General features: G+C 39.8%; 1 long non-coding RNA gene across 3 annotated transcripts in view; it reads right to left on the bottom strand.

The window, feature by feature from the left end:
* Positions 1-21,052, bottom strand: part of LOC105377043 (uncharacterized) — a 191,504-nt gene that overhangs the window by 68,142 nt on the left and 102,310 nt on the right. The window contains exon 3 of one of the 3 annotated variants that reach the window (XR_007095884.1): positions 12,410-15,173. The exons of the other annotated variants lie outside the window; for them this stretch is intronic. This is a non-coding gene — a long non-coding RNA (uncharacterized LOC105377043). Of the gene's footprint in view, positions 1-12,409; positions 15,174-21,052 lie in introns of those variants that run through there. 3 annotated transcript variants of the gene reach the window in all.

Raw genomic sequence — 21,052 nt, 5'->3', positions numbered from 1 at the left:
GTGTGCTACCACACCCGGCTAATTTTTGTATCTTTTGGAGACGGGGCTTCGCCATGTTGCCCAGGCTCGTCTCAAGCTCCTCGGCAGATTGCTTGAGCTCAGGAGTTCGAGACCAGCCTGGGCAACATGGCGAAAAACCCAAAGTGCTGGGATTTAAAAAGGCGTGAGCCACCATGGCCGGCCCCCTCATAGCATTTCCGTAAGTTGGCTACAGCATCTCAAGGTGTCTCCGCACACAGTTTGGGAAACGTAGTGCTGTAGTATTTACTTGTAAGTTGCCGATGTTGACTGCCACGTCAAGTTCTTCTGCCTTTCCTAACTTTCAGCGTGTTCTTATAAACCTGAAACAATCTTCTGTGAGTCTAAAAGTGGATGAGTGTCAGAGATGGCTCAAGGAGGCAGGCTGGGAACAACTCATACATGGGGGGGAAGAGAAACCCAGAACATAACTAGTTCAGCAGAGACAGGTGCTCGGTGTGAGTGACCCTCTGGACATAACTTCCAGAGTCCTGGTAGAATATCAGGTGGCATTTCACTTTCTACAGGATTCAGAATGGAATTTGAGCCAATCTTCAGACTCAATGACTCCAGTTGGCATTGTTTAAAAGAAGTGAACACCTATTATGTTAGTTGTTGGCAAGGTTTGTAGAAAATTTAATGTAAATTACCATCATTGCTAAGCCTAAAATTAGAGATGTGAGTCATGGGGACCAAAAAAAGAATCCTTCTATAGGATATATATATGTATGTATGTATGTATTTTGAGATGGAGTCTCGCTCTTGTCGCCCAGGCTGGAGTGCAGTGGCATAATCTCAGCTCACTGCAACCTTCGCCTCCTGGATTCAAGCAGTTCTCCTGACTCTGCCTCCTGAGTAGCTGGGGTTACAGCCATGCACAATCATGCCCAGCTAGTTTTTGTATTTTTGGTAGAAACCAGGTTTCACCATGTTGGCCAGGCTGGTCTCGAACCCTTGACCTCAAGTAATCCACCTGCCTTGGCCTCCCAAAGTGCTGGGATTACAGGTATGAGCCACGGCACCTGGCCTATAGAATATATTTTGATGACAGAGGTCAAGGCGGAAGCCAGTTTTGACAGCTGTCATTTTACATTAATAGAGCAATAGTGCCACACTTAACTAGCAATTTGCCCTTCTTTTGCTGAATCCATTACTGTGCCTCACTTTCCTTGTCCTGTATGAACCATCATGAAAATGTTGTCCTGTGAAAGACAATGTCCATATTTAGTGACCCTCTGAGTTCATACTCCCAATTCCCAGGTCAAGGTCAGGTCCAGGTCAGTAGCAGCAACTGGCAAATTTTTTTTTATGAAGAGCCAGACAGTAAATATTTTAGGCTTTGCAGACAGTATCATCTCTGCCACAATTGCTCAGCTCTGCTGTTGTAGCATGAAAGCAGCCACAGACAATACATAAAGGAATGAGCATAGCTGTTTTCTAATAAAACTTTATTTGTAAAAATAGACAATGGGCCATATTTTGCCTATGGGCTGTAATTAGCAAACTTCTGATCCAGGAAGTGACAATTTGTGATAGAATGCATATGATATAGTTCAGTAGCCACTGTAATAAAATACATAGCTGCAATGAGTTTGCCAAACTCACAGTTAAGGGCACAGTCTTCCAACACAACTACCACATCTGCTCAAAATTCAGATACCAGCTGAAAGTTTAGAGAGCTTCAGGGCCACCCTCACTTCTGACCAACTGGCTACAAATTCAAGGGTCCCTACCCACAGACTTTCTCAGGCATGACAATTTGCTAGAACTACTCACAGAACTTAGGAAAGAGCTATGTTTCCAATTATGGTTTTATTATAACAAAAGGATACAAGTCAGAACAAGCCAAAGAAAGAGATACGTAGGGCCAAGATCTGGGAGCTTCCCAAACAGAAAACTGTCAGTCATCTCCTGGGGAGTCCTTGATAATGTTACCTCCTCCCAACTACAATTAGTGATAATACTCAAGAGTACTGCCAACTGGGGAAGCTGAACTGAGTTCCACTGTCCAGTGTTCTTATTGGGGTTTGATCACATATTGCCTATGTTAGCTGATCTTTAGTCCCTCTGCCTCTCCTGGAGATTGGGGCTAAAAGTTTTAGTTTCCAGTTCTTAAACTGAAACTGGGAAAAGATCAGAACTGATACGGCATGGGCCAAAGTCCCCATCATATTGCATTATTAGGCTGTCCAGTGGCTAAAAACCCCTGGCAAACAAAAATACTTCTATGAAACAAGACATTCAAGGGACCTAGAGATCAGCTTCTAGCAGCTGAGGACAAAGAACAGAACTTGCTTTGGGTAAAGTTAATTCTTCACTACACAATAATACATAACAGCTTCAAAATTCCCTAATTTTATGGTTTCCATTTATTTATCTGTTTCTTCATTCATTTATTTATTAAAGCAACATTTTTGCCATTCTAACAGTCTCCTAAATGGTCTCCCAGCTTCCACCCTTTCCCTTGTTTAGAGCGATCCCCTGTAAACCTAAGTTAGATTTTGTCACCCCTCAGCTAAGGACTCTCCAATGGCTCCCATCTCAGACAAAAAACCAGAGTCCTTACAATGTTGTACAGGGCCCTTCATGACCTGGCTCCCATCACCTGACTACCCTCATCTCCCTCTCCCCTCCTCTCACTCCTCTCCAATCGTAATCAGCTTCCTTGCCATTCTTCACACATATGAGGCCAAGGCCTCTCCTTTGCATTGTCTGTTCTCTATGCCTGGAATGTAAGTATCCTCCAGAGAGCCATGTGGCCATCCCCTCCTTCCTTCAAATCTTCACTGAAATGTTACTTTCACAATGAGGCCTATCCTAACCACTCCATTAAAATTGAGACCTCCCTGAGCCCCCTGCCCTCAGCACCCCGGTCCTACTCTCTATTTTTCAAATATTTTTAAATTGTGGCAAAAAGTGCTTAATATAAAATGTACCATCTTAAACCATTTCTAAGTGTACAGTTCAGTAGTGTTAAGTAACTCACATTGTTTTAACTAATATTTGGAACTTTTTCATTTTGCAAAACTGAAACTCTGTGCCTATTAAACAACAACTCCCCTTTTCCTCCCCCTCCAGCCCCTGACAACCATCATTCTACTTTCTGTTTCTATGAATTTGACTACTCCAGGTATTTTATGAGTGGAATCATATAGTACTCATTCTTTTGTGTCTGGCTTATTCCACTTAGTATATTTTTCTCAAGGTTTCTCCATGTTGTAGTGTGTGTCAGAATTTCCTTCCTTTTTAAGGCTGAATAATATCCCACTGTACTATGGTCTGAATGTTGGTGTCCCCCCGAAATGCATATGTTGAAACCTAGTATCCAGTGTGAGAGTATTAAGAGATGGGTCCTTTGGAGAAGTGATTAAACCATGAAGGCTCCACCCTCATGAATGGGATTTGTGTCCTTATAAATAAGAGAGGTTGAAGGGAGCTGACTTGCCCTTAGGCCATGTGAGGACACAGTCAGAAGGCCAGATCTATGAAGCAGAGTGAAACCTTACCAGACACTGAATCTTCTGGCACCTTGATTGTGGAATTTCCAGCCTCCAGAATTGTGAGCAATAAGTCTATGTTGTTTGTAAATTACTCAATCTAAAGTATTTTGTTATAGTAGCCTGAACTAAGACAGAAATTGGTACTGAGAAGTGGGGTGCTATTATAACAAACAGCTAAAAATGTGAAAATGTAGAAATGGCTTTGGAACTGGGTAATGGGTAGAGACTGAGAGTTTGGCGGTGCATGCTGAAAAAAGCCACGTTGCTGTGAACAGAGCATAAGGGTGATTAGTGTGAGGGCTCAAAAAAAGAAGAGAGCCATAGAGAATGCCTCAATCTTCTTAGAGATTACCTAAGAGATCATGATTAGAATATTGGTAGAAATAGGGATGATAAAAACCGTTCTCATGAAGTCTCAGACAGAAATTGAAACATATTATTAAAAACTGGAGGAAAAGTGATCCTTGTTATAAAGGATCAGTGATCACTTGGCTAAATTGTATTTATGTCCTAGTGTTTTGTGGAAGGCAGAGCTTGTGAGTGCAGAAATAGAATAGTTGGTGGAAGAAATCTCTTAGAAAAGTGTTGGGGGTGTGGCATGGCTGCTCTTGACTACTTATAGTAAAATGGAAGAAGAAACAAAAAAAATTAAAGATGGAATTAATAATCAAAAGAGAAGCAAAACTTAAAGATTTTTGAAAATTCTCAGCCTGGCCATATTGTAAAGAATGGAAAGGCATGTTTGGGAGATACCACCAAGGGCATGGCCAAGTGACCATTTGATAAAGAGATTAATATGGGTGGGCAGAAGCCTAGTGCTATTCTTTATGACAATGCAAGAATGACCTCAAAGTCATTTTGGAGATCTTTGAGGGTGCCCTACCCATCACAGGCCCAGAATATCTGGGCCTTGAGAGCAGAATGATTTCGAGGCTCCACTCCCCTGACTACAGTGCAGCACTCCTTGGCCACTCCACTTGTGACTCAAGTAGGTGCAGCTTGTCCAGCCCTTCCAGAAAGCACAGGTGGTAAACCTTGGCAGCATCTATGAGGTTCCATCTCCACCAGGGTGCAGGGGTGGATGAGCTGTCAAGGGATGGCTACCCTCACCTAGATTTGGAAGGATGCCCCAAAGAGCCTCAAGGCCCAGGAAGAGAACCACAGCAAGGGTGGAACCACTATAATGAGCCCCAACTAGGGCAATACCCAGTGGAACCCTGAGGGTGGGACCACCTCAGAAAGTCCCCACTAAGGCAATGCCTGGTGAAGCCATGGGGGTCAGGGCTATTCCCAATACCCCAGAACTATAGAGCCCCCATTGTGCAACCCCAGCCTGGAAGAACTGCAGGTACAAAACTCCAATCTGTGAGAGCTGCCACACCCAGGAACCCATAGCAGCAGGGCCACCCAGAGCCTTGGGAGACCAAACCCCACCTGTGTGTCCAGAAAGCGGGACATGGAGTCAAAGAAGATTATTATGGAACATTGAGATTTAATGTTTGCCCTGTTGAGTTTTAAATTTGGTTGGGACCTGTTAGGCCTCCATTCTTTCCTGTTTCTCCTTTTTAGGATGGAAAAGCCTGCCCTATGTCTACCCCACCATTGTAGTTTAGAAGCACATAACTTGTTAGATTTCACGGACTCATAGTTGGAGTGGAATTTGCCTCAGGATAAATCACACCTTTGAGTCTTATGTGATTTAGATGATATTTGAATGAGACTGTGGACTTTAGACTTTTGCATTGATGTTGAAGCAAAGACTTTTGGGGTTATTGGAATGGAATAAATGTATTTTGCATGTGAGAAGGACTAAACTCAGGGGGCCAGAATGCTTTCATCTGCTTGTTGGTATTTCCCCCAAAATGTATATGTTGAAATCTAATATCCAATATGATAGTATTAAGAAGTGGAGGCTTTTGGAAAATGATTCTCATAATGGCCCTGCCCTCATGGATAGGATTAATACCCTTATAAAAGAGGTTGAAGGGAGCTGTCTGCCCTTCCACCATATGAGAACACAGTGTTTGCCCCTTCCGCCATGTGAGGACATAGCTGAAAGCCACCCCCTTTGAAGCAGAGAGCAAACCTTCGCTAGGCACTGAATGTATTGGCAGCTTGATCTTGAAATTCTCAGCCTCCAGACCTAAGAGCACTAAATTTGTTGTTTATAAATAACCCAGTCTAAGGAATTTTGTTATAGCAGCAGGAACAGACTGAGACACATTGTACATAAATATGTGTCTGTCTATCTACATATCTATCTACTCACATATTGTTTATCCATTTATCCATCAGTGAACACTTAGGTTGCTTTCATCTCTTAGCTGTTGTGAATAATGTTACAATGAACATGAGTGTGTAGTCACCTCTATTTTTTTCATGGCATTTATCACTTTATAATATATTATGTAATTTACTTATTTATCATGTATATTGTTTAGTATCTATTTCACCTCACTAGAATGGAAGCTCCATGAGGGATTTTTGTCTTGTTTGTTCCCTGATGTATTCCAAGCATAACAGGGTCTGACATGCAATAGATAGTCACTAAATAGTGCTATTAAGTAAATTAGTAACAAGCTTTTGTCATATACTAGGTCCTCTGCTAGACCTTGTGGAGGCACCAGCAAATAAAATACGGAATTTACAGCTTATTTATCTTTAACCCTTGGGATAGTTAAAGAAAACTAATTGGCAGACCCAAAATTGGAAAAACAAGCTTATTTGCAAGAATGCTATTAGTTCCTCAGCTTACCTACTTTGCTTCATGTGGGTCCCTTGCTGGATTTCACAGGCTTACAGCTGGAGGGGAATCACTACCTGTGTTACATGTGTATCCTAATGACTAGAATAAGCTGTTTCTAGCTCTTCATTTAAAGTATACATGATGTGAAGAGATCTGAATAATTGAATTGTAATTAAATAATGATTCTATTTTTATGTTATCTCTTCTGGAATAATTCCACCCACCAATCTGGCTTAATGGACAAGTGTATTGCAGGATTCTTCCAATTCTTCATTTAAGATTACCATCCACATGGAGAAAGGTTTCAAATGTTTTTCTCACCACACGTCTGTAGAATTACTCTCATTTCCAAAGTTTAGGTGATAGCCATTTTTAAAATCAGTAATTTTGCTTGAACAAAATTCCAGTTTCCCTGAAATAACTAAGCACCCTCATGGGGTGTACTATACTGGGGGTTTACCTGTGGAGATCTCAGGAGCTCTGTTCCACTCTTTGGGAGTATGTAATCAATGCAGTGGATTCTCTTTTCTGCTTCTGCTTGGTCTGACATTAAAATTATTATTTTTACTCCCTCTTTTCAGCAAATAGAAAAGTTTCTTTGCTCATTTTTTCCTATTAAAAATGTAGTTCATGATTATTCCAGAAAATACAAATAACAGAAAAAAACAAAAAAGGACACTAATTATTCCAACTGCTGTTAACAGCTTGGTGAATATAATTCTAGATCTGCACTCTCCAAATTAATAACCACTAGTCCCACATGGCTATTAAGCACTTGAAATGTGGCTAGTCTGAATTTAGATATGTTGTAAGAGGAAAATGCACATCAGATTTTAAAGACTTAATATGGAAAAAGGATATGAAATATCTCATTAATAATTTTAGGATTGATTACATGTTGAAATTAAAATATTGTTAATATATTAGGTTAAATAAAACATATTATTTGTTATATTAGTTTCTTTTTATCTTTTTAATGTGGCTACTAGGAAACATAAAAATATATTTGTGGTTTGCATTATATTTCTGTTGGACAGTGTTGCTCAGAAGATAATTTTCTGTGTATCTCTGTATATAAATACATACTGTAAGAGAAGGATCATGGTACTTCTATTTCATGACTCCCATTCTTCACTCAATAATGTATTTCAGCATATTTCCATGTCTTTGGACATATTTCTTTAAAATTATTTGTAATAGTCGCAGCATTTCATTGTAAAAGTGGGCCATAATTTCTTCAATCAACATGCTTTTAGTAAACAGTGGAATGTTCCCATTTTTCACTAAACAAAAAGCATTATAATAAATATCCTTGAACCTACATTTTTGTCTATGTGACTATTTTATTACACTAAATTTCCAAACGTGGAATTGCTAAATCAAAAAACACACATTTTTAAGGTTTTTGATACTTTATAGTTTTACAAGCTAAAAACTACCATGGCAGTCTAAAAAATGTGGTGCTAATTTAAACTCCATCAGTAGACTATACCCTGGTTCATTTCCTTATAGCTTTCTTTTATTGACTGTTATAATTTTAAAGAAAAATCTCATTGTTTTTATTTTCTTACTTCTGTTGTAAGATGGAAGGTTTTTACATTTTTATTTGTTTTTATTAGTACTTTGTAACTCATCTTTTGTAAACTAACTGTTCATGTCTGTAGCCCATGTTTCTTTTGGAGAATTCATCTTTTGTTACTGACTTATAAGGATGTTTTTATAGATTAATTATATTAATCCTTGGCCACACACGTTTCATATTTTTTTAGTTTATTTGCTTTTTAATCGTTTATGCTTCTTTTTGATGTTCAGAGGTTTTTAATCCCTACATAATTTTCTTTTAAGATAACTGCCCTTGAGCTTATGTTAAGGAATTCCTTTCATACTTTAAAAATTATATTGTTATTCAAGTATAATGTCTTCTAGTATGTTCTTGGTAAAACTTTTTACATTTATTCTCTTACACCATATGGAATCTATTTTTGTGTAGAAATTGCAAGGCTTATCTTTTCTAAATATTTAGCTAGATAACCCAACTCCATTTATCAACCATCTGTCCTTTCCTCATTGGTTTAAAGTCAACGAACGTGAAAGGATCAAGTATATACTAGGTCAACCCCATGGAAATTGGTAGAAGCAGAAAGAGGTATGTGTTTGTGTCCAGGATACAGGTGGGCAGGAATCAGGGTAGGCTGATCAGCAAGGAGGCAATAGCGTGCCAGCCTTCTGTTGTGTCCCAGAAAAATGTGCAAATACATCCAGCTTTGCATTTAATTGCATGAGATTGACAGATCTCCTGAATCTGTCCAGTGGAGTTATTGGGATACTGACTCAAACATGAAGGTCTCTAATCTGAAGAGTTGTGGAAAGCAAATTAAAGACCTAGAGAGGAAACTCATACACCAGGTAAAGAGAGGCACAAAGATGCTACTCTACTTTTTATGTAGTCACACTGGGATATTCAGCAGCCCCCAAACTCAGACTAGACTGCTCAGTCTCAGCCCTCTCTTCCTACTGATGGCTTGTCTAAACTGTGATTTTCTGCTGCAGTAGATATTGCTGGTTGCCTCTCGCGCAGCCACTCTCCACCCTATCAGTGTCCACAGTCTTGTTTAGTTATCCACCCTCCCACTCCAGGAAGCTGACTCCACCCCATTCAGCACCAGGGGCAGACCCTGGTTGACTCGGAACAATCGGAACGTTATACCCTTTGAATCTAGTCATTGGTCCAGGAGTGGACATGTGATGTAAGCCATCCTGTCGTTGGGAATTAAGGTCTCTTGCTTGGAACACTGGGGCAAAAGCATTGCCTCTCACCCACTGGACACAAAAGGGGAAACAAAGGCACCACCTGCTGCTGTCAACCATCAACCAACCAGCCTTAGAACAAAGTCAGCACTGTGCAAGGGAGTGAGAATAGAAGAGAGGAAATTCCTTAGTGAGATTGCTAAGCCACTGGATCTATCAACCCTGAAGGCCGTCCTAACTCAAGGCTTCTGTTACTTGAGTCAATAAATTTTTGAGTGATGTTTTCTGTTGTATGTAACCTAAGATTCCTAATTGATACATCCTGGCCTAGGGATTCCTGGCTTAAACACTACCTTCTCCATGACTTCCATAGTCAAGCCAGCTACAAGGGATCCCTCCCTCAGATGACCCTTGCTCTGAGCATATGTCGTGTCAAAGTTCGGTCCTAGGAGAAGGATTCAAAATCAATGAACAACATGCCTACCTGGACATCTGATGGAGAGGCTGAACCTTTGGGCTGGACTCTTTTTTTCTTGACATTTCAGGGGACATTAAGTGGTCACCTGATCTGCTGGACCCCTTAAAATGAAGGTCTCTGCTTTATCCATCTGGTCCACTCATAGGCAGCCTGTGATAAAAATGAACATTTAAAAAGGTAGAGAAAGGCCAGGTGTGGTGGCTCATGCCTGTATTCCCAGCACTTTGGGAGGGTGAGGCAGGTGGATCACTTGAGCCCAGGAGTTCAAGACCAGCCTGGACTACAAGGAGAGACCCCATATCTACACAAAAATTAGATAGGCGTGGTGGCATGTGCCTGTAGTTCCCAGCTGCTCGGGAGGCTGATGCAAAAGGATTGCTTGAGGCTGGGAGGTTGAGGCTGCAGTGAGCTGTGATCAAGCCACTGCACCATGCCTGGGCCACAGAGTGAGACCCTGCCTCATAAAATAAAATAAAATAAAATAAAATAAAATAAAATAAAATAAAATAAAATAATAAAACAGTAGAGAAAACTCCAGCCACTTACTCATGGTAATTGCTATAGTTATTCCTTCATAAATATGACAGGATTACCAAGATTCACTAGCTGTTGAAGCAAACAAGTGAAACAAAGGAGATGGGCTGATAAGATCAAATAGAACAAGTGACCCCAGGAAAGCAGAAATAACTTTTGGAGAAGAAGAAAACCTCAAAGAAATCTAATTGCCTCCCAGAAAAAGTTGAGTGGCTACTGCATCCATTTAAACAAGGGCACACGGCCATATAAAGGAGCAATAAGAGAATAAGAAATAGTTTACAAAAGTTCACAAATACAATTAGGAAAATTAAAAATATGATCACTACATTAAACATTGAATGCAGGGGCTATAATTTAAAATTTCCTGGGATGTTAAGCAAGAGAGGGATGGAGCAGAGGAGAGAGAAGGGGGATGAGAAAGCAATTCATGGCAGGGCTGGAACTGGGAGAAAGGTCTAACCAGGAGGGGGAACATCCATCAAGTAAAAGTCTAGAAAGAGAAAACAGAAAATATAGGGGAGAAAATATCTTAAAAACAATAGAAGACATTTTCCAGAGCTAGAGAAAGACACAAGACTTCAGATGTAGAAGGCCCAGAAATTATATATATATTTTATAATTTTATACATTATACTTTTATGTTTGTAATAACTACATGTATATGTATGTATATATAATTGAGACTCTGTTTGCCCTACTAGCATGTAAGCTCTGAGAATGCAGGGACTTTGACTATTTTTTTTAATTGCTGTGTCCCTACTGCCTAGGATCTGACCCAAATAAATAAAATAAAAATAAAAATATAACTAATCCAAATCAAAAGGAACAAAAGAGGGTGACAGCGATAGTATAAATGACCTAAAATGCTTGCTTTTCAAAGGAGAGCATCAATGGGATATTTCTTGATGTTGACAAATCAAGAAAAAATACTATAGGACTTCCATATCAAGATGATAGATGGAGCACATGGGTATATTTTTACTCTGTCTTGAAATCCCAACAAAACAACAGTAAAGGGGCTTTTTAAAAGACAAAAAAAAAACCCATAGGAACAAAAGGAAAGAGTAAAGTATAACATCAGAAAAATTTTGGAAGTTGGGAAGCAAATGGTTTGGGACTAACTCTCAACTGACCTGGGACAGCTGAATCCCAGGCTGGTAGTAGAGAAAGTTCTAAGACAGCTTCACTGACAGGGATGGGGTGCAAAGGGTGTGTGGTTTGATGAGGGCAGAGGTGAGGTAAAAGAGGTCTGGGCTCTCATCTTCTGAAAAAAAACAATAGATACTGAAAAGTTGAGAAGCGAAAACAGAAAAAAGAATTCTTAGTAATATGGAGGTAACTACCAAAAGAATCAGCCAGAAGAATTGAAAGTACTTGCCTCTGAGGGGAACAAAATCAGAAGGAAGCTTCTGTTGTTTGTAACAAACTTTATTGAAGAATTTGACTCTGTAAGTTAAGTTTACTCATATAACTATAATATTTTCTCAAATTGTTGAGTAACAGTAAAAAAGTTATACACCACTAGCTAAAAACATAGTTAAAAGTACGATCCTTTGGAGAGTAGGATTATGAGGAAGGGGGCTAGATGAAGTGCACACATATTTCCATACCCTTAAGTACTGTTCCAACTTTTATCTCCATGCATGTTCAGCAAATATCTATATTTACCTAGAGACATATATTGGTTGCAAAAATGGTCATAATAATTGTCTTCCCTGTATCCCTGCCCTTGTGTGGTATCCTCACGTTGTCTCCAGGCTTGGTCACTTGACTTGCTATGGTCAGTGGGACAATAGCAAATGTGGTACAAGTAGATGCTTGAAAATTGCTTATGTATTGGAACTTGCCCTCTTTTGCTGCTGGGACCCCTCATTACCGCTACCATGTAAAAAAGCCTGGGCTAACCTGCTAGAGGGTGAGAGACCAAATGGAGCAGATATCAACTGTTTCAGCTGAGGCCATCATAGACCAGCCAGTCCCCAGTAACCTGGCAGCCAACCATGGATGTGTGAGCCCAGCAAGACCAGCAGAAGAGCCACCCAGCTGAGGACAGCTCCAACTCCCTAGTCACAGAATCATGAGCTAAATAAAGGTGTATATTAAACTTCTGAGGACAAGTGATTATGTATCAAGTACTAACTGACAGAGATACATGCAGATATAGAAGTAGAAAATAAAATAGAAACAAAGATATATAATAGAATTTTTGGATCCCAACTCAAATTTATAAGATCATGCCAGAAAGTGAATCCTGAGAATTTATATTTGAAAATTTCCACAATGATTCTAATACAACCTGGACAAACATTTGAGAACCATTGGTATAGAACAAAGACTAAAGAGTTTGGAGATCTGGGTTCCAAACCAACTTCTTCTCCCTACTAATAGTGTAATCTTGGGCAAGCTATTTAACTACTCTGAGCTTCAATTCTTTTTCCCAGTAAAATAGAGGAAAGTTGTTATGAGGATTAAATGGTCTTGTACATAAAAAGTGTCCAGGATTGTACACAAAATTTCTTCCCCTTCCTCCCCCACGAACCCTGATGGACCCTCACAGAAGCAGCCAATTTAATGTATAATTCCAGAAAGCCTGCAGAGTAGTATAATATGAGATTTTTCTTGTCCTTTCTATTTTAATAAAGCACAGAAGAGAGAGAAAGTTTGGTGGAAAGCAACCCTCAGAAGGGTTTTATTTCCCTCATTTGTCAGCATGACTTTAATAAAAATGTGATAGTGTGAAATGAGAAACTTCCAGGGAAGAATGGAACAGGCCATAAGGAGAAAACAGGGTTTTTATCAGACTCATGATTTTGAACAAATGATTTGGAAAATCTCAAATACAAGACCAGAAGTTTCTAGTAAAGGTGCAAGAAATCATAGAAGCAGGACCAATAGCATGACAGCAACTTCAGAGTGTAAAATCTCCTTCATGATTTGTTGGAGTCAATAGAGTGAATTTGGACGACCAGGGGCAAGCTTCATGGCTTCATGAAAGTCATGTCACCTGTCTGGGCCCCAGTTTTCCTATTTGTAAAGTAAGAGGCTTGTATTCATTGATTCCTGTGGTTCTTTGGAATGCTAGCATTCTATTAATTTATAACTAGACCTTTTTTTTCTCCTTATCTAACTGTATCATACTTCAATCCTCCATTTTGAAAGGAAACTGGGCAACCGTTAAAAACAAACAAGTGTCTCTTGGTGTTGACCTGATCCCTGATTTTTATTTGTTTTCATTCAGAGAGAAAGATAACTATGTTTGTGGCCCATCATCTATGTCTGTGTTTCTTATCATTTTTTTCAAATTTGCAGCACCATACTATCGGAAGAAGAACTACATGCATTGCCTCAATTTCCCCCAGGTGATCAGATTTGGGAGGACAAAAATAGAATGGCTTGGTGACATCAAAAAAAAAACAAAAACAAATGAACAGCTATAATTATTGGCCAATCTTGTGTATAAATGCCTTATTGCTCCCACATCAGCCAGAAACAGACACACACTCAGGACATTCACCTTAGCTGTATTACAAACTGCATCATCAGTTCATATCAGAAAGAGAAAGATACTCTGTGTTTCTAGTGACCAGAGCCCCAGGCTTTAAAAATTTTAACCCAGGTTTCTGTTATCTGAGTATCTGTCCCCAAGCTTGGGCCCCTTCCTGACATGATGGTACACACAGCCTCTGATGAAAGAGGAATTAAAATGTGAGAGAGTTGTGATTGAATACCATTAGACAAGCTTTACCAGTTCTGGTAAAGACCTCAGAGAACCATCCATCTGGCCTAAGCAATCTGTTATAATAATGCTTGAAATGTGAAACTATTTAAAATCTAATTTTAAAATCCTATAGAAAGCAATGATGGCATTTTTTAAAGTCAAAGTGAACATTTTAATATTGACATTTGTGGATCTTTCCCAGTGTGGTCACAAAACCACACTGGAAAACACAGACACAGAGCTAACAGAGAATCAAGTAATTCCAGCAGGTATGTGATCCGTGTCAGGCCACTGTGGTTCTTAAAGTAGACCTATAATGTACATACTGCATTAACTGAGTTCACTGGCAGCATATCTTAAATTATAGGCATAGGCTGGGTGGCTCTCTACCCTTGGAAGAACCAGTACATTATTGGGCAGGCCAGCACTCGCCCCACTTAGTAGAGAAAAGGGAATGGACTTACCCCATGTCAGTGATTAGAACCTTGGTTCACCAACTGTACTCTGTGAACCAGCTGCATCAGCATCACCTGAGAGCTTGTTAGAAATACCTTCAGTCCCACACCAGACCAACTGAATCAGAACCTGCATTGTAACAAGTTCCTAAGGTGATTCATGTTCATGTTAAAGTTGAAAGAACACTGGGGTGAAGCCTCTTCTTTGTCCAGGTAAGATTATTTTCTCCTTGTGAAAGACTGCAAAAAACGGTCACAGATTTCTCCCACTTCTGTTTTCAGGTGCCTTTGCTTCCCCCATCAAGAGGTAGAGTCTATTTCTCTACCCCCTTGAATAGGGGTGCTTAATGTCCTGCTTTGAACAATAAATTGCAGTAGAAGTGATGGTGTTAGTTCCAAGTCTGGACCTCAAGTGGCCTGGCAGCTTCTGCTCTCGCTCTCTTGAGACCCTGAGAACACTGTGTGGAAAAGTCCAGTCCAGCTGGCTGGAGGATGAGAAAGCTTGTGGGGAGTAAGGTCCGGAGAAGAGCTGTCACCCATAGCCAGGCATGTAAGTGAGTCATGTTGGATCACTCAGCCCCAGTGGAACTGCCTGATGACAGCAGTCACGAGTGTCCTCAGGAAAACCAACAGAGGAACAGCCCAGCTGATCCCAGCCCAAACTGCTGACCCACAGAATTATGAGGAAAAACTTGTTGTATTAAACCATCAAATTGTGTAGGTGCTTTTAATGCATAAAAAGAGTTTCTGAACTCTTCATCGAGGGCTGTATGGATTTCCTGAGAACAAACAAGTCCATCTTGGTGAAAGAATCCACCTTCACTGATGTGAAACTAAAGGTTGAGCAAGTTTACTTCTGGAGAAGAACGCTGTTGACAGGCTTACACATGATGATGGAGCAATGGAAATATTAATGCTGGGTGATTAACACAGACTCTACAACCGGTGAGTTCTCTTCAGAACCTGAGGACGACTGTTGCAAAGAAATAAAAGCCGTGATCAAAATTTTCTGATATCTGGTGTCTAGATTTATGCAGGGACTTCTGGCCTGGCTCTGCCTACTCTCACCCCCATGCCTTGACCTAGACTCCTGATAGTTTCTGCTCAGATCCAACACCAACCGAAGCAGTGACCCAGGAGTCTTCAATGAGCAATGCAGAACTGGAAAGCGTCTAAGCTTTGGAGTCATCCTGAACCGAGTTTCAATCCTGGCCCCACCACTCATTAGCTAGGTGATTGGACAAATAGATTACTTAACTTCTCTGAGACTCAGGCTTCTGATTTGCTAATTGGGATTAAGAATCCTTATCTATCAAGATTGTTGAGATTATTTATCAGAAAAATGATAACATCTAATGACTGCCCTATAAGTGTATTCTGCATAAATGAGGCTGGGATGTGAAAGCTATAAAGTCCCTGACAGGTGTAATTTTTGAAAAGAGACAAACCCATCAGTTCCCCTCCACCAACTCCCTTCCACACTTCGAGAGTTCCTAACTTCTAAGTGTCAGGATGTTCTGACTACAGTCTGGCTGTGTTTTTCTGCTGCCTGATTGGCAGCTATTCTGCTTAGAGCCACTTGGAAGGAGGAGGGGGACAGGGTAATCAGCATTCATCTCTGGGCCACCAGGTCAAGTGGGTACTAATCAGGAAAAATGTTTGGCTATTAAATGCTCCATTGAGTCCTTTAAATATCACCTGATGTGTCATAAATTTGGATTAGCCGTAGAAAATCAATCTTCACCATATGCAAATTAACGATGAAATGAGATTCTCCTTGTGAGCCATTGCTGTCCCTCAGCAAACCAGTCACTTCAACTTTATTTAACTGGCCTGAATTTTTCTTCCATTTTGCTTCACTTTGTGACTTGAAGCTCATTATCCCTTTGACAGTTTATGGTCAGAGAGCTCTGGGCCTTCAGAGGGACTCAGCTAGTGCTTTCTTGGGTTCGTTTACTCATCTCCCTAGTGCAGACTCAGGCTGCCGCCTGGAATGAACCTGGATGTGCTGGCCTTGTCCCTGATGATTTCCCTAAAATTGGATGTTGAACCTGGTAATGATGCATATAATGCGTGTGTGTGGAGTGTGTGTGTGTGTGTGTTTGTATCTATGACTATAAATATGAATTCTAGGAACACATTCAGGAAGTTACTTTTTTCCATTAAAAAATAAAACACTGTATTTATTAGTTGCTCTTCATGATTCCACAAAACAGTGAAGCTTTGGGATCAAACTTCTTGGAGCTAGGCTGAACCTTTAGGTATAGAATGGCAAAAAATGGGCAAGTTTTTTACCACTCCTCATATTGCTCTGTTTTAGCCCATGCATATCCCATGTAGTTATATGTTACATACAAAGCATATAACTACAGGTAGGGAAATGGAACAAAAAGCACTGGTGAGTTTGCAATGGAATAAAATGCTAGTATCAGGTCCCAGCAGCCACTGGCTACCCAGGAATTTATTAATAGTCTGCCTTTGCGTTCAGCAAGCTTGCAATAGGATGCAGCTAATTAGCCTGCCTGGGAACCAACTGGCATGGATTAGAATGGGATGGAATGGAATGACTAATGATAATAAACTGTATACTACCTTATAATTTGCTAAAAACTGACAATAAATTATCTCACTAGATCCTCTCAACAGTCATGTAAGGTTTGCATTAATATTATCCCATTTTACAATATGGAAACTGAGATACAGAGAGGCTAAATTAACATGTGAAAAATCTTTAAAATGTTCATGCCATATGACTAGTAATTACATTTCTGGAAATTTAGCTTGACAAAATAAAAAAATCCAAAAATAGATTTATTGACAGATATATACAAAGAAGTTACATATAATAGCGAACATTGAAAATAACCTGTATGTCCAAAAAGAAGAAATCACTTAGGTAAATTATAGTGATTCAACATAAACATACACTTGATAATCTCTAAAAATAAGGTTTCTGAATATCATTTAAAGATGTGAAAATAAATTTACTACATAATCTTTAATTTTTAAAAGGAGATAAAACTTCTTATGCTGTATAATCCCAATTTTGCTATATCTCTGTATATACCTGAAAAATAACATGAAAGAAATATCTTAAAATGTTAGTTATGGTTATATCTGTTTCATGAGATTAATAGTGACTTTCCATCGCTTTTTACTTTTCTCTATTTTCCTAATTCTCTATAATATACAAGTATCATAATTTAAAAGTGATGAACAATCAATAAATAAAATAATAGTAACATACAAAATTATTTTTAATGTTACTTGTGCATGAAGAGCTAGTGAAAAAGCAGAATATTAAAATGTGAAACACTTGGAGTGGTTTTGAAGGTCAGAGTAAACATATGCCAAATACAGTTATTTTGTCAAAACCATTTTGTTCATTTCTAACTAATTTATCTTTAATAAGATAAACAAGTTCGAGGCTCTGGCAATGATCCATCTACAAAATCACTGGATGTTTGGTTCATCCTCGCAATTTTCTATACTTATTTATCCTTCACAAAGCACTGTCAGTGTTTGGGAAAATGATTTTGTGAAACTTGGTAAATGGCTAGGTAAAATATTTCCTTGGATAATGGTGTGCCTGACACTTTAAACATCTGAAAACTCTCAGAGTTATTAGATCTCAGGTAGAGGAGGTCAGATAATGTCTCTGGAGATGGCTCCTATTAGTAGAGCTTTGGATGATGTAAAATACAAGGCAGAGAGTGGAGAGAAAATGGTGGGCTGCAACAGCAGAATTCTAAATAGATACTTAGAAGGAATTTCCAAACAAGAAGCATAGTTCCTACTTCTATCAGAGTGGAGGGAAGCAAATTGATTCTGCAAGGGAAAAGTCCAGCCATCGTGAGGAGACTTCTAATAACGCCCAAATTCCATTTCTCAAAAAAAATTTTTTTTGCTTGAATTGCATTTAAAGCTACAATTTTAAGACTTTTGATTTGGGTACATTTAAATGTTAATGCACGGGTTTTAAAAAATTATTAAACTCATTTGGAATGTAGTGATAGTTTTTTACATTTAATTATTTAATTCTCCTGGAATGTACTTCCTCTTTTTTTACGTAAAATTTTTAACATATCTAGAGTGAATATTAATGATTTTATTAATAATCATCTCCACTACCACTTATCAGTACTTGCTACATGCCTGGAATTGTGCTAAATCTTTTTACACACATTAGCATACATCATTTGCTTTAAACCTCACAACACTGTGCAGATCTGGGGACTGAGCCTCAGAAAGGTTGAGCAAGGACACAGCCAGTAACACACACTCTGATTCCCAACAGTCCATTCCCTTAAACACCTTACTATGATGCCACTTGGATCACAGACCAAATTGTTATGTCAAGCATGGTTCCTTTCTCAAATTTTTGTTTGGTTCCATTGATCTGTTCGTACAGACTTACATCTTATTATTTAAACAGCTGATAGGACAAATGCCTCTGATGAGTCTATATAATCAAAATTAATCTTGGCTATTGTTACCCATACATTCTTCTAGAAGATTTTTTTTTTTTTGATGGAGTTTCGCTCTTGTTGCCCAGGCTGGAGTGCAAATGGCTCGATCTCGGCTCACTGCAACCTCCGCCTCCCTGGTTCAAGTGATTCTCCTGCCTCAGCCTTCTGAGTAGCTGGGATTACAGGCATGAGCCACCATGCCTGGTTAATATTGTATTTTTAGTAGAGATGGGGTTTCTCCATGTTGGTCAGGCTGGTCTCAAACTCCCAACCTCAGGTGATCCGCCCACCTTGGCCTCCCAAAGTGCTGGGATTACAGGTGTAAGCCACTGCGCCTGGCCCATCTTCTAGAAGATTTTTAAAATAATGTTTATGTTTTAATTATCCAAGTAATACATACTTCTTATTGGCTACTTAGGAAATGCACACAAGTAAGAATAGGAAAAATTAAAATCCCCTGTGAACTTACCCAACCAGAAACGATCACTGTGATAGCATTTTCGTGAGAATCTCATTTATTTATTATCTGTCTCCATTAGAATGTAATCTCCATAAAGCAAGAGTTTATCTCTTTTTATCACTGTTGCATCCTAGTATCACTAATGGATGGCATGGTTCACTCTCCAGATCACATGCTCAGGACCAAGGTACTTATTACCCAACCTGCTCCGAGTGCTGGCTCACATATGAATCCTTCTCTCAGAAGAGCCTTCAACCAAGGGAGCTACTCTGCCAAAGTTACATCTTCTCCAGAGGTAGCCCACATCCAATGATCTGTAGGTTTGGGGGTATCTAAAGGCCCAGCCCCCTCACCATAACTTGGAACAACTCCAAAGGGTCATTCCAAATCCAGAGCTTTCTGTGGAATTGGCTGGGGCCTATAATATCCTCCTTCCCTAACTCCCCTACTGATGTTATTCTGAAATTACTCCCCAGTAAACCTCCTGCAGGCTAACTTCTGCCACACAGCTTGTTTCCAGCGAGCATAATCTAAGATAATGTAGAACAGTGCTTGACAAGTGGTTAGCTCAATAGTATTTGTTGAATGAATAATGCAAAACTTCCTAGGGGCTCTTTCTTCATTCTTGCTGCCTTTAACTCTTCAGCAATGAAACAGAAACTCCACTGGGTCCCCAGGAAGTCAGAAGTCAGCCATTCATGTGCAACCATAAATACTATTGCAACGTCTTCCCATCATTGTCTCTTCTATTCTTGATGAAGCCAGGAGCCTCATCCACTTCTTGTTAACAGCCTAACATAACAGTGGCCAGAGACAAGATCCCAACTTGGCCGCCATTTTGAGTGTCTCTGGATCCTGTCTCCTCTAGTCTTTACAAATCTTGAGGCTTATAATCACTGCTTACTGGACCCAGGGAATCTACGGAGATAGCAATCCTGCTGATCCTGCATTTCCTAGTCTCTGCCCAAGTTGCATGGGTCCTAGAGTGGTGGTGAGGATGCTCCCACCTCAGTGTGTTGTATAGATAAGGGCATTTCATGATTGAAAGTGCCTGATCTTAGTTTCATCCACATGTCCACTTTTTGAGAGCATCACTTGTGAACAGAATGACTGTTGGGACAGGACTAGGACAGGCCTGGAAGCCAACACATGCCTCTGTTCTTGGTCAAGTCTTCACATACTCTCCTATTGAAATCATTCTTTGTTCTATCTGAGGCCAGGATACATACAAACAGAGCTTGAAATTGGGGATTTATGATAAATTAATTTATTAAAGATGATTCTCAGGAGAAGGGAATAAGGGAAGCAGGGCAGGGGAGGAGAAGGAGCTAAGCAAGGATGTGGTCTCAGCATGAGTCAATTGCACCACAGAGTTGTCCCCCTAGAGGTTCAAGGATCCAGCCTTTTATACCTCACGCAAGCTAGTCATTGGCTATGGACTGTCCCCAGAGGAGGAGTAGGAAGCATAACCTTCCAGGCAAGGCAGCTTCTGGTCAGTCAAGGGCAATTCTCTGAAGAAGGGGGTAACTGTGAGCCATTAGCAGCCCAATACTCTCAGCAGCTGGATATGGGTGTTCCAACAATATTCACTACAGGGGTCTTGCTCCCTCTCCTAACAGGTAGCTTCCATCACAATGATCCCTGTGTTTCAGACATAGTTTAATAACTTTGCCTAAAAATGGAAAATGTTATACCTCCTTCACATTTCTGCAGAGAGTTCCTCTATTCTTGTATACATTTAGGATCCCAGAAAAATAAGCAGATGGAGGCTCTATGCCCACCCACCCTCTTATCTCCTCTCCAAGTTCCAAATGCTCATGGTACATTTGCTTACAAAGCCCGGCTCCATAAGAAGGGAGAGCTGATAAATATTTAACAACTGGCTCTCCAAAGAGAAAAGCCTTAAGTTGTTAGCATTTGTCA

Source organism: Homo sapiens, chromosome 3 (genome assembly GCF_000001405.40).
Source record: "Homo sapiens chromosome 3, GRCh38.p14 Primary Assembly".
NCBI classification, from domain to species: Eukaryota; Metazoa; Chordata; class Mammalia; order Primates; family Hominidae; genus Homo; species Homo sapiens.
This window is presented reverse-complemented; position numbering and strand designations above follow the sequence as displayed.